This window comes from Homo sapiens, chromosome 10 (genome assembly GCF_000001405.40).
Source record: "Homo sapiens chromosome 10, GRCh38.p14 Primary Assembly".
Taxonomy (NCBI): domain Eukaryota; kingdom Metazoa; phylum Chordata; class Mammalia; order Primates; family Hominidae; genus Homo; species Homo sapiens.
In genome coordinates this window covers 89,743,683-89,760,403 of record NC_000010.11, presented here as the reverse complement: position 1 = coordinate 89,760,403, position 16,721 = coordinate 89,743,683, and the positions used below count along the sequence as shown (strand labels likewise).

General features: G+C 34.9%; 1 protein-coding gene across 5 annotated transcripts in view; it reads right to left on the bottom strand.

Moving 5' to 3' along the window:
• The window catches only part of KIF20B (kinesin family member 20B), a 73,345-nt gene that overhangs the window by 14,531 nt on the left and 42,093 nt on the right, over positions 1-16,721 (bottom strand). For all 5 annotated transcript variants that reach the window (NR_168374.1, NR_168375.1, NM_001284259.2 and 2 more), the window contains 6 exons: positions 16,477-16,596; positions 14,445-14,505; positions 8,933-9,058; positions 7,713-7,837; positions 5,731-5,886; positions 1,522-1,698 (listed from right to left, as the gene is read on the bottom strand). Coding sequence is in view for 3 of the 5 variants with exons in the window: in NM_001284259.2 (NP_001271188.1) it covers positions 1,522-1,698; positions 5,731-5,886; positions 7,713-7,837; positions 8,933-9,058; positions 14,445-14,505; positions 16,477-16,596 (765 nt within the window). In the remaining 2 variants the exon portion in view is untranslated. The remainder of the gene's footprint in view (positions 1-1,521; positions 1,699-5,730; positions 5,887-7,712; positions 7,838-8,932; positions 9,059-14,444; positions 14,506-16,476; positions 16,597-16,721) is intronic.

Here is a 16,721-nt window from a genome sequence, read left to right as displayed (position 1 = left end):
AAGACACCTTTAATTACCACCTAGCCCTCCTATTTCTCTTTCAACCTCAGATACTCAGGAAAGGCTGGGTCACTTTCCAGTTTATTGACTCTGATCTAAGGAGAAATTTGAAAGACTGCTTGCAACTTCCAAGTGTTCTGCCCACATTCTCTTGCTTTACTTTCATCGCAACTCTGCAGGTAGGTCTGGCAAAAATCATTATTCCTACTTTCCAGATGAGGAAATAGAGAACGACACACGTTAAATGGCATGGTCAAGGTCTGTACTGAGTTAGAATTGCTCAGTATCCCAACAGTTGCTTTTGATAACACAATTTTGAAAAACTGGAGGCTTCTCAGGAATGCAACTATAGCATTACAGTACAAAAGACCATAAGGAAAACTAAATCTTTTCTTGCAGCACATTCTTCCTCCTATTTTCTCAGTCATAAAGTTCTATTTCTAAACTCTACTTAGGCGATTTATAAAGAAATAGATTACATTTTTAAACTTAATAAACTGTAACACAGACCTCCTCATCACAGCCATCAAAATCAAAAGTCAAGTAAACCTCTTATGTCACCTCCCCATTACTGCCAAATAAGAAAGACTCTACTGAATTCATAAAAGGGAAAGTAACTAGCATATATTGATTTCCACTGGAGTAAGAACTGTGCTACTTGTTTTACAATCTTCATTAATTTCACAACTCTGTTAGGAAAACACTATTACCTGTTTTAGATAAAGATCAGAAATGTTAAGTAATTCTTCTCAAAGGTCCCAAAACCACAGCGACAGCAGTTGATACCTAGTTTTTCTGACTTTCTAGGATATATTATTAAACAACACAATACTACCTCTTTTTAAAGCAAGTAATCTCTCTTACAATAATAGTCTTTTGATGTGACACACACATACATATTTTTCCTATTGTCTGAAGGCTTTAAAGCAGAAGATTTTTAAGTACAGATTATTCCAGAAAGACTAGCTTCAGATGTACCCAGATTCTATTTACTGGGAAGCAGCTATCTGTAAAAGGCAATTCTCTCCTCTTTCAGGATTTCCAGTCTCAAGGTAATATAAAAGTAACAGCTGAATGACTCATAATGTCTCTCTACCATTAGGCTTACTTTCAAAATAATTTGTATCTTTATAAAATAAAGTTAAGGATGGGCCCAAGTATTCAAAATCACCAAGAGTTCATGTTGAATCACATTTCCATATTTTAAACGCAGACTGGGGACTAAACCATAAATTGTTGATTTTCTAATTACTCTACCAAAGTAATTAGAAATACTAATATTTTCTAATTACTGAGAGATATAACCAAAATATTGGAGAAAATGCTACATCTCAGTCATTGATTGACAAATCAATCTTAATGATAAATTTCAAGACTCTAAATCATGAAAAATTTCCACATTTTAAATACTCTGATTCCTTTTTGGTCTATTGAGACTTACACTTTTTTATTCTTTAAGAGTTAGTCAATTAAGTAATTACTATGTTCAATTAAAAAGGCATAGCAAAAAAGACTACTGACTATTTTAGAAGTCTCTGATATGATCCTTTTTAGTTGTTCAATTTCATTATCTTTCTGTACATTACTGGATATCAGTGCTTTTAGCTGTATTTCTAAAGCTGCAACCAGTTGATCTCGTTCTTCTCGCCACTTTTGAAGGTCACTATCTTTCTCTGTCAGCTGGGCTGTCAGTATTTCCTAATCAGGAAATAAAGAAAATATTAAAATCAACCTTGATATATTATGAATCTAAGAATGTTTAGAAATTATTATATGTAACACCATAAATATAGCTGCAAACAAGATTACAAGACAAATTAAGTAGTCTAGATAAAATATTTAACTATAAAACAACACATATCATTTTATAAATTAAATGTCCATGTTATTTTTATCCATATCCCATCTCATTCCAAAAATCAGCTTACTGGTAACTTCTTTCAATACACAATTACAGCTATAGCTTTCAAACTAGTATCAACATTTCTGCCAACGTTTGGAAAATTAGTGGGTAAAATTACAGTAATAGCAACAAACAACAGAAAAATGAAAACAGAAAACAAGACCATTTACAATAGGTTCAAAAATCATGAAATACTGATAAAGAAAATGTATAAAACCATAAAATACTGCTGAAAGAGATTAAAGAACACCTAAATAAATAGAGAGATTGGTCTGTGTTGAAGGATCAAAATACTCAATATTGTTAAGATGTCTCCTCCAAATAGATCTAGAGAGTAAAAGCAGTTTTTATCAAAATTCAGGTATGTGTGAATGTGTGTGGAAATGGAAAAGGTGACTCTAAAAATTATATGGAGATGCAAATCATCTAGAATACTCAAAATTATTTTGAAAATGAAGAACAAAATGACAGCAATTATCTATAATTTCAAGTTAGCACAATAATCAAGACAGCATGTAAAGACAGAGAAATCAATGGGACAGAAGAGACGATCTACAAATGCATGGTCAACTGACTTAAAAAAGTGGCAAAAAAATTAAATAAAAGGAAGGACAATCTTCCCAATAAATGGGGCTGGAACAACAGAATAACCAAATGAAAAAAAAAAAGAACCCCAACCCTAATCTTACAACACATACAAAATTAACCCGTGGGCAAATGATTTACGACAAAAGTGGCACAGCAGTGAGAAAGAAACAGTCTTTTCAATAAATATTTCCACATCAATTGGTAATTCACATTAAAACAAACATCAAGAGCTTTGACCACTATCTCACACCAACACAAAAATCAATTCTAGTATCTAAATATGAAAGATAAAAAACTTCAAAGCTTTCAGGAAATAATATAACACACCATCTTCAAGTCCTTGGGCTTCATAAAGAAAAATATTGGGACAATTATCTACAATAATACTAATAAAATTATCTACAATAATTGTAATATCTACCATATCTACAATAATAATTTATGAGAACTCCTACTCATAAAAAGGCAGTAAGAAAGAAAAAGCAAACTAGAGATAGAAAGAAGGTACTTGCAACACATTACAAAAAGGGCTTCTATCCCGAAAAGTATAAAGAATTCCTACAAATAAGAAGCTAGATAATCCAACAGAGAAACAGGTAAGGGAACTTGTATAGGCACAGCCAATAAACAAATGAAACAATCTTCAACTTCATCAGTAATTAGGGAAAAGCACATTAAAACCATTTTAAAAACTGACTGACAATACCATACCTTGGTGGGACTATACAGCTACTGCAACACTAGTTGGGGTATAAATGGGTACAACTGCTTCGAAAATCAGTGCAGCATTCTACTAGAATTTCACATATATATACCCTATCATCTAGCAATTGTCATGTGTGTATATATATATATATATATATATATATATACACACACACACACACACAACAGAGATATATGCAAATGTGCACCAAAACAAATGTATAAAAATGTTTATAGGAAAATTTATTCATAACAGCCAAAACCAGAAAACAATCCAAATATCTTCAACATTAAAATGAATTAGCAGTGGTTTATTCATACACTTAAATATTCTGAAATGAAAGTGGACTAACTCCAGATACATGCATGGAAACATGGATGATTCTCACAAACATAAAATAGTGAATGAAAAGAAGTCAGGTACAATCAAATGTATTCATATATTTCAATTTACATAAAACCCAAAAACAGACAAAACTGAAGTGTAACACTGAAGGACAGATTAGTTATTACCACTGGAAAAGAGGCAGAAGAAGGAGCTTCTGGGGTGGAACAGTGTTCTCTTCTTGAAATAGGTATTAGTTAAGTGGGTACTGGCTTCACAATAACTCACTGAACTATGTTCTATTTCCTTTCCATGTTATATGTTACAATTTTACATCAAAAATTAACATTACATCAAAAATGTGTTTCTTAAGTATGGCAGACACATACACAACCTAAGTATGATTATAAAGAAACATATGAGAGAAAAGAGTAAACTAGCTTTCCCTAGGATTAAAAATTCAAAGTGGGATTACTTGCTGGCATTGCTACCAGAGAAACCACTGGTTTGGAATTGGAGCAACTGTGACAGCCTTCTGTTTTGATTTTACTTATTGCCTCTTACTACTGGGTCAGGAAGGTTGGGTGATAGGTATACAGGAATTCTATGTGCTAGTTCTGTAACTTTTCTGTAAATAAAATGATTTCAAAAAATTTATTCTGTAAATAAAATGATTTCATGAAAAAGTAAACTTTTTTATGGGAGCAAATTTACACCATGTGACATGAGGACAGAGCATTCAATGGTAGACTCTCTAGCTTCAGAAAGGACACACACTTCAACCAAGGGCTTGATTTCTGGAGTAGAATACATGTATGGTCTGGAGTTTAGCAAGCATGCTGGAAAGTTTAGCTCACAACAGCCTCATTTTAATAAAAACTGGCCAACTCTGTTCAATATTCAATGTTAAAAGCAGCTTTAAAGCTAGGGAAGAAAAAAAGTGGAAAAACTGTCCTTACCTTATTGAAAATTAACATTTCAGGCCGGGTACAATGCACAGTGGCTCACACCCATAATCCCAACACTTGGGGGAAGCTGAGGCAGGAGGACTGCTTGAGACCAGGAGTTTGAGACCAGCCTGGGCAACACAGCAAGTCTCTGTCCCTACAAAAAATAAAAGATTTACCTAGGTGTGGTGGCATGTGCCTGTAGTCCCAGTTACTTGGGAGGCTGAGCTGGAAAGATTGCTTTTGCCCTGAAGTCTGAGGCGGCAGTGAGCCATGACTGCACCACTGCATTCCAGCCTGGGTGACAGAACAAGACCTTGTCTCTTTAAAAGAGGAAAGAAAAGGGAAAGGGAAAGGGAAGGGGAAGGGGATGGGCACGGGGAAGGGAAAGGAGAAAGGAAGGAAAGGAAGAAGGAGGACAGGATGAAGAAAAGGAAGAAGGAAAGGAAAAAGGAAAGGGGAGGGAGGGGAGGGGAGGGAAGGAAAGGGGGGAGGGAAGGAAAGGGGGGAGGGGAGGGAAGGAAAGGAGGGAGGGAGGGAGCAAGGAAGGAAGGAAGGAAAGAAGGAAGGAAATCTTTCAGTTTTTATAGGAAAGTTTAACTGTTTTTAGTCAAATGCAGTCATAAAAAAAGGAAATGCCAACAGATGACAATATGATACTGCGAAGTTACTATTTTTATAGACACTGGTTTTTCATTTTAAAATATTTGTTGCTCAATAGCTTTCCTCGGATTAACGATAACGTTTAGCTTCTTTTTTCTGATTGCCAACATGGCATGTCAGACTAAGTGCCAATTAGAAAAAAAGAACAGGCTAAGACAATCATTACAAGACCTACAGCTAGTAAATGTAAAACTGAAGGTCATTTCTACTATATATATAGTCTTTTACAAACTATTTAGGTGACTTTATGTGATAAAATGTACACAGTATTAGAATCTACAGTTCAAAATGCAGAAAGTTTTAAAATATAATAGGGAATACTCTGTAACGGTCAAAAGGAAGAGATTTTTTACTTCAGTATCTAGACAGTAAGAAGCAATAAGGTATTCTCCCAACATGCTAAATCAACTGAAACAAGTTAAAACAAGAACATTAGTGAATGTCAAGATAAATTGGCTCAGAAGTTATCTTATAAAGATGACAACCTGCCTTTAAAAAACCAAAAACAGAAAACCATGTAGAAACTGTTAATTCCAGCAATACATTTAACACACCAAGGAAAGTAGGTGAAATACATCAAAGATACAATTGTTACTAACCATTTCATTCTGTTGCTTAAAAAAACGCTCCCTGTCCTCAGCATATTTTTTCATCTCTTTATTTCGTATATTCTCTGCTTCTTTCGCTTGAGTGATAAGCATCATTTTTTCTTCTAACCATTTCTTTCTATCAGCATTATATTTCTGTTCAGACTCCTGTATATATAAATGGTATAAGTTATTATCGCATGCCTACAAAGTAGTCAATACATGTTTCTATAACATTTTCATACAATCCATTACTTTTCACCTCTATAAAAACTTTAATGTTTCACTTTAAACAATGACAAGATCAAAGCTTCAGATTATTTAAAAAATAATAAAATAACTGGTTTGCTTTCCTAAACGCATTTCATTTATAAGTTAATTTTGCTATGAAGTCCATTTAAATACTTTTATCAGTGACCTTAAGAAAAAATAAATAATTCAAATTTCTGAAACAGTTAAACTGACTCAAATCTTCCTAAATGCCAAGAGAATAAAAAAGACTTTGTTTGTGGTGGTCATTTCTAACTGGATGGTTCTAAAAATAAAATATTCCTGGGCCTACGAGATGCCAAATAAAAAATAACTTGTGCAACAGGATATTTATTAAAAGAACATCCAGAAGAGCTGGACAGAGAATACTGCTGATCAGTAATTTTCAAACTGGTACCACAGATTCTTTGGGTTCAGAGGCATTTAATAATATATATAAAAAACCCAAGTAGAACTTCATTTGAAATAAAAATAATAATACCACTTAAAAAACTTCTAGGCTGGGTGCGGTGGCTCACGCCCGTAATTCCAGCAGTTTGGGAGGCCAAGGTGGGCGGATCACGAGGTCAGGAGATCAAGACCACCCTGGCCAACATGGTGAAACCCCATCTCTACTAATACAAAAAAATTAGCTGGGCGAGCTGGCGTGTACCTGTAGTCCCAGCTACTCGGGAGGCTGAGGCAGGAGAATCGCTTGAACCCAGGGGGTGGAGGCTGCAGTGAGCCGAGATCACGTCACTGCACTCCAGCCTGGCAACAGAGCAAGATTCCGTCTCAAAAAAACGAAAAGAAAACTTCTAAAATCACTATATTACAAAGTATGGCAGTCCATTCCAGGATTACAAAGTTTATAATCTACACTAATGTGATTACATCATCTTAGAACAATGCAAAATACACAAATACTTTTTAATGCAAACATTCTCAATACGGTTGATACACTTTTTTCATAATATTTATTTTGTTCTAACTGCTTTTGGAATTTCACAATGAAAAGGGTAAATTCTAGAATATATAATATGTAACAAAAAAAGTAGTTTTTGTATTTGTTTTCAGCATATGTTTAATACACAGCCAGAATTTTAAAAAATTTAGAGGCAGACAATCTCCCAAAACTATTATGTTTCCTTCAATCCTACAGCTTCTGTTATGAATGCCACTTCTAATAAAATGTACAAAATGAAATAGTATTTGGTAAATCCTACGAAAAAAAAAGTTTCCCCCATATGTTGTATGTTAAAGCTGAACAAGAAAAAAACACACACACACAAAATAGAATACCTTCTATATAGTATAGTTTTATATGTGTTCAGATATACAATTCTATTCCAATAATTAAACTTTGAAGAGATTTAAAGTAATCAAAATAATTCTCCTGATGGTCATTTTCTCCACAGCAGTATTTGATGAGTAAGAAGTTTAAGGAGTAGAAAAATGGGCACAAGGACATTAGAAGCAGTGGTTTATGAATTAAATATGTGAAACATAAAACTAAGGACCCAATCACTATATTTCACTGGCACTTAATAGGCTATATCTTGGAATTTCTTCCCCATGTCATTTCAATGTGCACTGAAAAGTTATATTTACATATTAACATTTGCCAGGTATTATTTCACCCATATCTAAGTGAATTACTAAATATAAAATACTGAATTCTCCTCTTATTAGAAATATAATGAAGACAGATACATTCATACATAAAAACATACATAAAGTCATACCTGTAACTCATCTTGAAGATTAGTGAGCTTTCCAAGCACATCTGTGTTGTTCTCATGTTCTTTATTTGACCTTTGATTGTTTTTGGTTTCCAAATCATTGCATTTTTCCTTCCATTTTTCCAATTCTGATTTGAAGACATAAAATTATGTTTTAAAGCATATGCAAAAGTTATACCATGTAGAGATACACTTGACATGGGCTACAGACACAAATCAGTAGAGCCCAGATAAAGAACACAGACCAAGATGGAACTGAGGCTATTCTATAGTTTAACTTTTAGGAGTTCTTACTAAATTCTTAGTGAAGAGGAACTACAGGGACTTCTCAGGAATCCAATGAATAGTATTCACAGTATAGTATAATAAATTCATTGTCAACCTTATTATATAGAAAACTTCATGCAGTCCTCAAGAAAAAAGTTTTCTATGCCCATGAAAGTGGCTAGAAAAGTATGAAGTCACACAGACTCACTGTCCTCATCCTCATCACAATTTCATCCACCAAAATACAGTTATAATAGAGTTTTAGGGTTTACAAAGTACTATTACATTTTTTCATCTCATCTGATCTTGATAAGAATAATGTACAATATGAATCTTCAAGTCAGATGATTTTAAAAAAAGAATAATGTGCAATAGTACATATGGCATTATCATCATCAGCCACATTTTACAAATGAGGAAAATTAGGCTGAGTAAGCACAAGTACCCTGCCAAGGTTATATATAAAATGGCTAGACAATTTCTTAATTCTAAATTTCTTGCCCTTTCTACAAGAATCACACATAACATTTTTATTAGTAAATGTTATATTTTTCCATATACTCTAGAAAAACTCTGATGGTATTCTGAAAGCAATGAAATCAAAGTATTTATTGAGATCAACATACAAGATAATGCTAAAAGCCTGACAAAGGTGAAACTCAGTTGAAAACTTACTCTTAACATCTAGGGAACACTGCAAGTTATCATCCATAACTTGCAATATATAATTCGTAAGTTATCATGCAGTGTCCTTACTCCTTTACTGCATATAATTTTAGTGAAACAATTTTCATCACAGTGGAAAATGACAAGTAATAGGACATTCAAAAAACACCAAATACTTTTCCATTATCAATCACTGAAAATACGTACTACTTTAACAAGGGAAGAAATCTAGGAAATTTTTTTTTAAATGAAAAAGTATATTTAGAGAAATGTAAGCAATCTTGTTTTACCTGTGGCCAGCCTTTCAACTTCCTCTAATTTAGCCTCAAGCACTTGATCCTGTTCTACCTGAGTTTGTTCCTGTTCTTCTAGTGTCATTCGCATGTCTTCAATTATTTTCTCTTTAACATTTAGATCTAAAAATCGGGGGAGAACATTTTAGAAATTAATAGCCTCTAGATATCCAATTTTTCTTAAGTTCTTCTAAAATTAAAATACATTTTTATTAACTGTAATAGAATATTAGTTCCATATAGACAGAAACTTTGTCTTATTCATCGCAATATCCTCAATGTCTACAACAGTACTGGTATATATGACATACTAAATATATATTTGGTGTAAAGATGGATGCTTGGATGATTGCAAGAGTGGATGAATGGAAAAAAGTTTTTTCAGGTAAAATTAACAATTTCTAATACAATTAAACTATTCCGATACAACTAACTATTACTATGAACATAAATCTTAGGATTTAGGGGGAAAAACCATTATTTGGCAAAATACTTATTTTCAGTGTTAATATTCTCCAATCAAACTAAAACCTTTACCTCCTAAAACTAAAAAAGCTCAATCCCAATTTGAACTATTTTTTTTAACATCAAGTAGTTACTTTTTCTAGAAAAATATTCAGAGTCAAATATTTGTTTCTATTTTAAATTTTTATTTAAAACCAGCTCCTCAGAAATGGCTTTTGAAAAGCTAGTAATAACAGCCTTCCTAAAATTGTTTCTGGCCCTTGAAGAATGACTACAGCAATTACTTGTAAGCAACTATATATTAACCCTGTCTGCAGGAAACGGATAAAGAGGGAAGATCAGTTTGTTGCCTCTGGTGATGGCACCTAGTAGCAGGGCTCATTTCAGAGAACTCTTACCAACTATTACTGATGTCAGAGGTGATAAAGCTATAAATGCATAGCTCAATCTCAGGCTGCTTTTAGTAACACAAATACCCAAAGATGGCTCCCTCAAAGTGCACATAAAACAAAGGTAAAACAAACTAAACAGTAAGAGAAAACTGTATGAGCAGTTTTTAGTATTTTTCCATTGATGCAGGCTTTCAGGTGTGCTAGTAAAACAGAATTCCTCCTAGGATTAAAGTCACCTTCATATTATCATATAAATCTCTTTCAAAAAGCATGATTTTCAAATATATTCATATTACACAATTAATTATAATTTTATTCAAAGAATTCCCTCCCTCTTACACTTTGCATTTCTGACTCTAAACTGAGGACTAGAAAAAGAATTTACAAATCTAATTATCAATTAAAAAATTTCCAGAACACCAATGGTAACCTCACTAATGGCTACTCACCTATTATTTGAAAGCTAGCAAACTAGAGCAGTAAAGGCAAAAAGATAATTATTTAATCAGTCATTGACTCCAGTAATTTACATTTTATTTCAGGAAAGAACCCCAAAATACACACCAAAATGATAAAATGGAAAATAAAGCAAAGTAAAGAAGTCTGAGACAGATATCTCATCATAGCTATCTAAAGATATTATCTAAGGATAGTTATGAGCAATCATAGTGAAATAAATGACTATTAAATGAACAAGCAATCAAGTGCTGCATATTCAACACTTGCTTACCATCCCCAAGAAAATTAAAACTATAAGTTTACCCAAAAACTTGCATATAAATGTTCATAAAAGCCAAAAGTGGAAACAACCCAAATGTCTATCAACTGATACATAAAATGCGGAATATTATTCAGCCATAGCAAGGAATAAAGTACGGATACATACACAATATGGATGAAACTTGGAAACATTATTCTAAGAAGAGTCAAACACAAAAGGCCGTATATTGTATGAACTGACTTAACATGAATTGTCCATAATAGGCAAATTCATACAGACAGAAAGTAGATTAGTGGCTGATAGGAGCTGGAGGGATGGGGTGAATGGGGTATGATTGCTGATGGGTACAGGGTTTCTTTTTGAAGTGACAAAAATGTTCACTTGTCACTTTACGTTACTATAAACACACAGTAATTAGATAGTGGTGATGGTTGTACAATTTTGTGAATAGAAAGTACTAAAGCCCACTAAACTGTACACTTTTAAAAGGTAAATTTTATGTTACATATATTAGATCTCCATTGTTTAATAATTCAATATTAAAGATAGGTAAGTGAAAGGCATTCCGTGAATAAATAGAAATTTAGGAGGCAGGGAAAGCCTTAAGAGTTAAAGATATAGTTTTGTTTGTTGTCTATTTGTAGGGAAATGTCTCATACACAACTTAAATCACAAGAGCATTTTCTCTCTAAAGGAAAAAATAATTTTAAAAAAAGATAACGACATCTTAATCAGGCAAGTTACCAAAGTGGCTGAGACTCATTCTGAGAGAAAAGTGGTAACTAGTACAGAATAGATCATAAAAGCTGAGACAAGAGAGTTTCAAAAGGTGGGAGGAGCTATAGATTACCTTTATATTTAGAAAAAATACACATACAATAAATACTACTTTATAAATATAACTGAGGAAAAGAAGAGTGTACAATAACACCAAAATAATGAAAAATAAAAAGCAGGGATTGCAAAATGCTGACAGATTTTAACATATGTAGGTTACAAGTGACTTAGAAGCATAGAAAAGGTGGAAGTCAGATTAAAATAGTCACGGTGGGCCTATGCCATACTTCTCCATATTTGGCAAAGAAAACAAAAATTAAAATATGATAAAAACTATAGGGCAACCTGGTCCAAGGGTAGACTTTTCCAGAGTATCTAAGATGTGTCCACATTCACCAAGAGGGACAAAGGAGCCAAAGTAAAGGGGAATCCTAAAAGATAGCTATGAACTATTTCCTATGAAATAGGAGATGTTAGGGTGACAAGGCCTAAGAAAGGCAGAAGAAAACAGTACTGTGTGCAGAGATATATTTTCACATCCAAGTTACCCATCCAAGTTAACCCCACCAATGTATAAGTCAGCTAAATAAGTAATAATCTGGTTGTGTTACCCTTTCTTTTGTTGGCCAAGTACAAATAACATGGATTAGTAAAGAGAGTCTGAGACTTAAGAGTGAAGCACACCTGGGTTCAAATCCTAGTTCTGCCACTCACAGAACAAAGAAGTTAAGGGGTAATGAGGAGGAGAGGAGTCTGTATCATTTTAAAAACAGAAATATGTATCATCTATAAAAGAAATTTTGTGGCCAGGCACGGTGGCTCAAGCCTGTAATCCCACCACTTTGGGAGGCCAAGGCGGGTGGATCACCTGAGGTCAGGAGTTCAAGACTAGCCTGGCCAACATGGCAAAACCCCGTCTCTACTAAAAATACAAAAATTAGCCAGGCATGGTGGCTGGTGCTTGTAATCCCAGCTACTCAGGAGGCTGAGGCAGGAGAATCACTTGAACCAGGAAGGCGGAGGTTGCAGTGAGCTGAGATTGTGCCACTGCACTCCAGCCTGGATGACAAGAGCGAATCTCCGTCTCAAAAAGAAAAAAGTAATTTTGTAATATTTCAAACAACAAATCAATACAATCTGAGTAAGAAAAGCATAATTCATAATTCAGCACCTAGGATTTGAATCTAAATTATTAAGCAGCTTTTTAAAAATTTTATTATTATTATTATTATACTTTAAGTTTTAGGGTACATGTGCACAATGTGCAGGTTAGTTACATATGTATACATGTGACATGCTGGTGCGCTGCACCCACTAACTCGTCATCTAGCATTAGGTATATCTCCCAATGCTATCCCTCCCCACTCCCCCCACCCCATAACAGTCCCCACAGTGTGATGTTCCCCTTCCTGTGTCCATGTGCTCTCATTGTTCAATTCCCACCTACGAGTGAGAACATGTGGTGTTTGGTTTTTTGTTCTTGCGATAGTTTACTGAGAATGATGATTTCCAACTTCATCCATGTCCCTACAAAGGACATGAACTCATCATTTTTTATGGCTGTGTAGTATTCCATGGTGTATATGTGCCACATTTTCTTCATCCAGTCTATCATTGTTGGACATTTGGATTGGTTCCAAGTCTTTGCTATTGTGAATAGTGCTGCTATAAACATACATGTGCATGTGTCTTTATAGCAGCATGATTTATAGTCCTTTGGGTATACACCCAGTAATGGAATGGCTGGGTCAAATGGTATTTCTAGTTCTAGATCCCTGAGGAATCGCCACACTGACTTCCACAATGGTTGAACTAGTTTACAGTCCCACCAACAGTGTAAAAGTGTTCCCATTTCTCCACATCCTCTCCAGCACCTGTTGTTTCCTGACTTTTTAATGATTGCCATTCTAACTGGTGTGAGATGATATCTCATTGTGGTTTTGCTTTGCATTTCTCTGATGGCCAGTGATGATGAGCATTTTTTCATGTGTTTTTTGGCTGCATAAATGTCTTCTTTTGAGAAGTGTCCGTTCAGAATACACATTTTAATTTTAAAGATATTTTATTTGAAGTTTATTCTTTACACAATTTCGTCCAGAAATCTATGCCATTCATTGTGACCTACATAAAAGTTTGACTGGCTTTATTTTTCACAAAATACTGGCCATTACAAGAAATCAATGTTGCTTTGACTACTTATTTTATTTTTCTAAGAATAAGCTTTAAGTTAACAAATTATTCATTAGAATCACTACTTTTCACTTTTGATAAGCTGCATCTTATGTTGCCCTCACTTCCCTTCAGAATTTTCAAAGGAAATGTTAACCAGTTGTTATTGCAACTACCTGTTTTGTAATTTTAGTACTGGAAGTGATATGGGAGGCAGGCAGGGAAGTGCTGGGTACAGAAAGGCAGGGTCCCTGGTGAAGGCTCCACCCTCGGGCCTGTGCCCACAGAGTGAGGACAGGCACTCCTGTTTTCACACCCAAATGTTGCATTTTTCAAGACCACCCTGGCCTGCCACGCCCCCATCCTGTGCCTACAAAAACCCTGAGACCCTGGCAGGCACACACACAAGCAGCTGAACATCTAGAGGAACACACTGGAAGAACACACCAGCAGATACCAGCAGATGCTGGCAGGCCATCTACTGTGAGATGACACGGAATTTGGTTGCGGGCAGTCAGAGGAGAGTCCGGCCGCCCAGGGCAAGACCACCTTCCCGCTCCATCCCCTTCTGGCTCCCCATACATCTGCAGAGAGCTAACTCCACTCAATAAAACCTTCTACACGCCCATGTGTGATCCGATTTTTCCAGTACACTAGAGCAAGAATCCCGGGATACAGAAAGCCCTCTGTCCTTGCAATAAGGCAGAGGGTCTAATTGAGCTGATTAACACAAGCCGCCTGTGGACGGCTAGGCTGAAAAAACACCCTGTAGAACACGCCCACTGGGGCCTTCAGGAGCTGTAAACACTCAACCCCAGATGCTGCCACAGGGTCAGAGCCCACACTCAAGACCTGCCCGTCTGCATGCTCCCCCTAGGGGTTTGAGCTGCAGGGCACCAATGAAGCAAGTCATACCCCCATCGCATGCCCTGCGAGGGGAATAAGAGAACTTTTCTGGTTCCAGAAGTACAAACTTGTTCCTGACCTTTGCATGCTCTCTCATACTGTTGTATAGCTTCTTCCACTTTCTGATTATTTAACTGCTCCTACAAATTGAAAGAATATAAATTAATTGCAAATTAACTTAAAAACACAATATTTAACAGTGGATCTTGAAAACAGGGCTCAATATTAAGTTTGAAATCAGTCTCCTATATAGCTGGTATACCAGCTGGTACCAGTCTCAAGCTTCCAACTGTCTTTCATCTTGGAGAAAAGGGTAGGGTGAGAGCAGGGGAAAGAAGAAGTAGAGATTGCAGTGAGCCAAGATTGCAGTGAGCCAAGATCGCACCACTGTACTCCAGCCTGGCGACAAAGCGAGACTCCATCTCAAAAAATAAAAATTAAAATTAAAATTTAAAAAAATTAAAAAAAAACACTTTATATGTCTTTATTTATTTATTTATTTATTTGTTTGTTTTTGAGATGGAGTCTCCCTCTGCCACCCAGGATGGAGCGCAGTGGCGCAATCTTGGCTCACTGCAACCTCCACCTCCTGGGTTCAAGCGATTCTCCTGCCTCAGCCTCCTGAGTAACTGGGATTATAGGCGTGTGCCACCACGCCTGGCTAATTTTTGTATTTTTAGTAGAGACGGGGTTTCACCGTGTTGGTCAGGCTAGTCTCGATCTCCTGACCTTGTGATCCGTCTGCCTCGGCTTCCCAAAGTGCTGGGATTACATGCGTGAGCGACTGTGCCCAGCCTATACTTTTAATCTACGTTATGACCCGGTTATTTTACTTACTCAACATTTTAGATAAATGTTTTCTTACAAACCACAAAAAGCAGAAACAAGGGAAAATGAAGTTCTACTGTGTATTTAACATAGAAGGAACAAGAAAAACCATTAAAAGCTTCCTCACTGGTAAACTTAAACTCAAAATGAAGGAAAAAAGAGCTCTCCACCCCTTTTACCTAGAAAGTAGCTGCAAGATTGGAAAAAAATAAGCCTTAAGAGGCAAGATTAAATTATGGGGACCAGATATCCTACAGTTCTAATTGTAACTTATCATGTAATCCAAACTTCACCCCCAATCTCATCTAATGTCACCACTATCTCATCACTTTGTAAGTCTTAAGAGTGAATCATTATGGAATATGGAGATCTCGAATCCTATTGTTATAGAATGCTTTATTATGATTACCTTAAGAATTAAAATCATGTATTTATACCTGACTATTCATTAGTTTGCTTCATTTAAAAGCAAACATGAAAATAATATAACAAATGTATTTTTTTTATTGTTGCCTCATCCATTTGGTTGATATCAAGCAAAAAATAACCATATACAATAAAGGGATTTTGCCTTTTAAATATCATTTTTAAAAGGAATTTGCTGTAAGACCTCAACTCTTTTTGTTTTTTTGCATTTTATTTCAAAATAATTTTAGCTTTGCAAGAGTTCCAAAGAATTTAGCTTCCCTTAATGTTATCATATTACACTACCATGGTACATTTATCAAAAATCAAGAAATTAACATTGGTATACTACTATTAATTACACTCCAGACTTCACCATCATTCACCAGTCTTTACTTGTCTTTAATGACCCTGACACTTTATACTTCATACTGGTGAAGCAGTAAGTATAACATCCTCCATTTGGGTTTGTCTAATGTTTTTTCGTGAAGAGTCTGAGGTTATAAATTTAGGGAAAGAATACCAAAGAGGGTATGTGCCTTTCTGGTCACATCAAACCAGGAAGCACACAGCATCAATATGACTAATGGTAATGTTATTCTTAAACACTTGGTTAAAGTGGTATCTGCTAGGTTTCTTCACTATGAAGTTATTATTTTTTCTTTTCCATAGTCTATTCATTAGAAGAGAGTCACTACTGGCCTACTTAATTTTATCTTTTTTTTTTCTTTTTTGCCTATTTAATTTTAAATAATTTATTTCTAGATTCTAGAAAAAGTCAAAACAGGATGTTATTAAAAACAAATTTGTACCTTTTTGTACACTAAAATATACCAAGAGAATGCATTTAAATCATCTTTAAAAACAAAACTGTTTACCTTGAGTTGCTGAATGGTTCGCTGTTTCATATCTAATTCCTGAGAACACTGGTTTTTCTTTTTCTCCAGTTCATTAATTTTAATCCTCAGTAATTTATCCTCATCACGCATTACAGATACCTACAAAATAATGTTTATAAAACAAATGGAATATTTTAAAAATACTAACTGCTTTTTGTTATTTAAGATTCATGGCAACTATGTTCAAAGATTCACATCCTTTACAGCCTAAAAGAAAAATGACA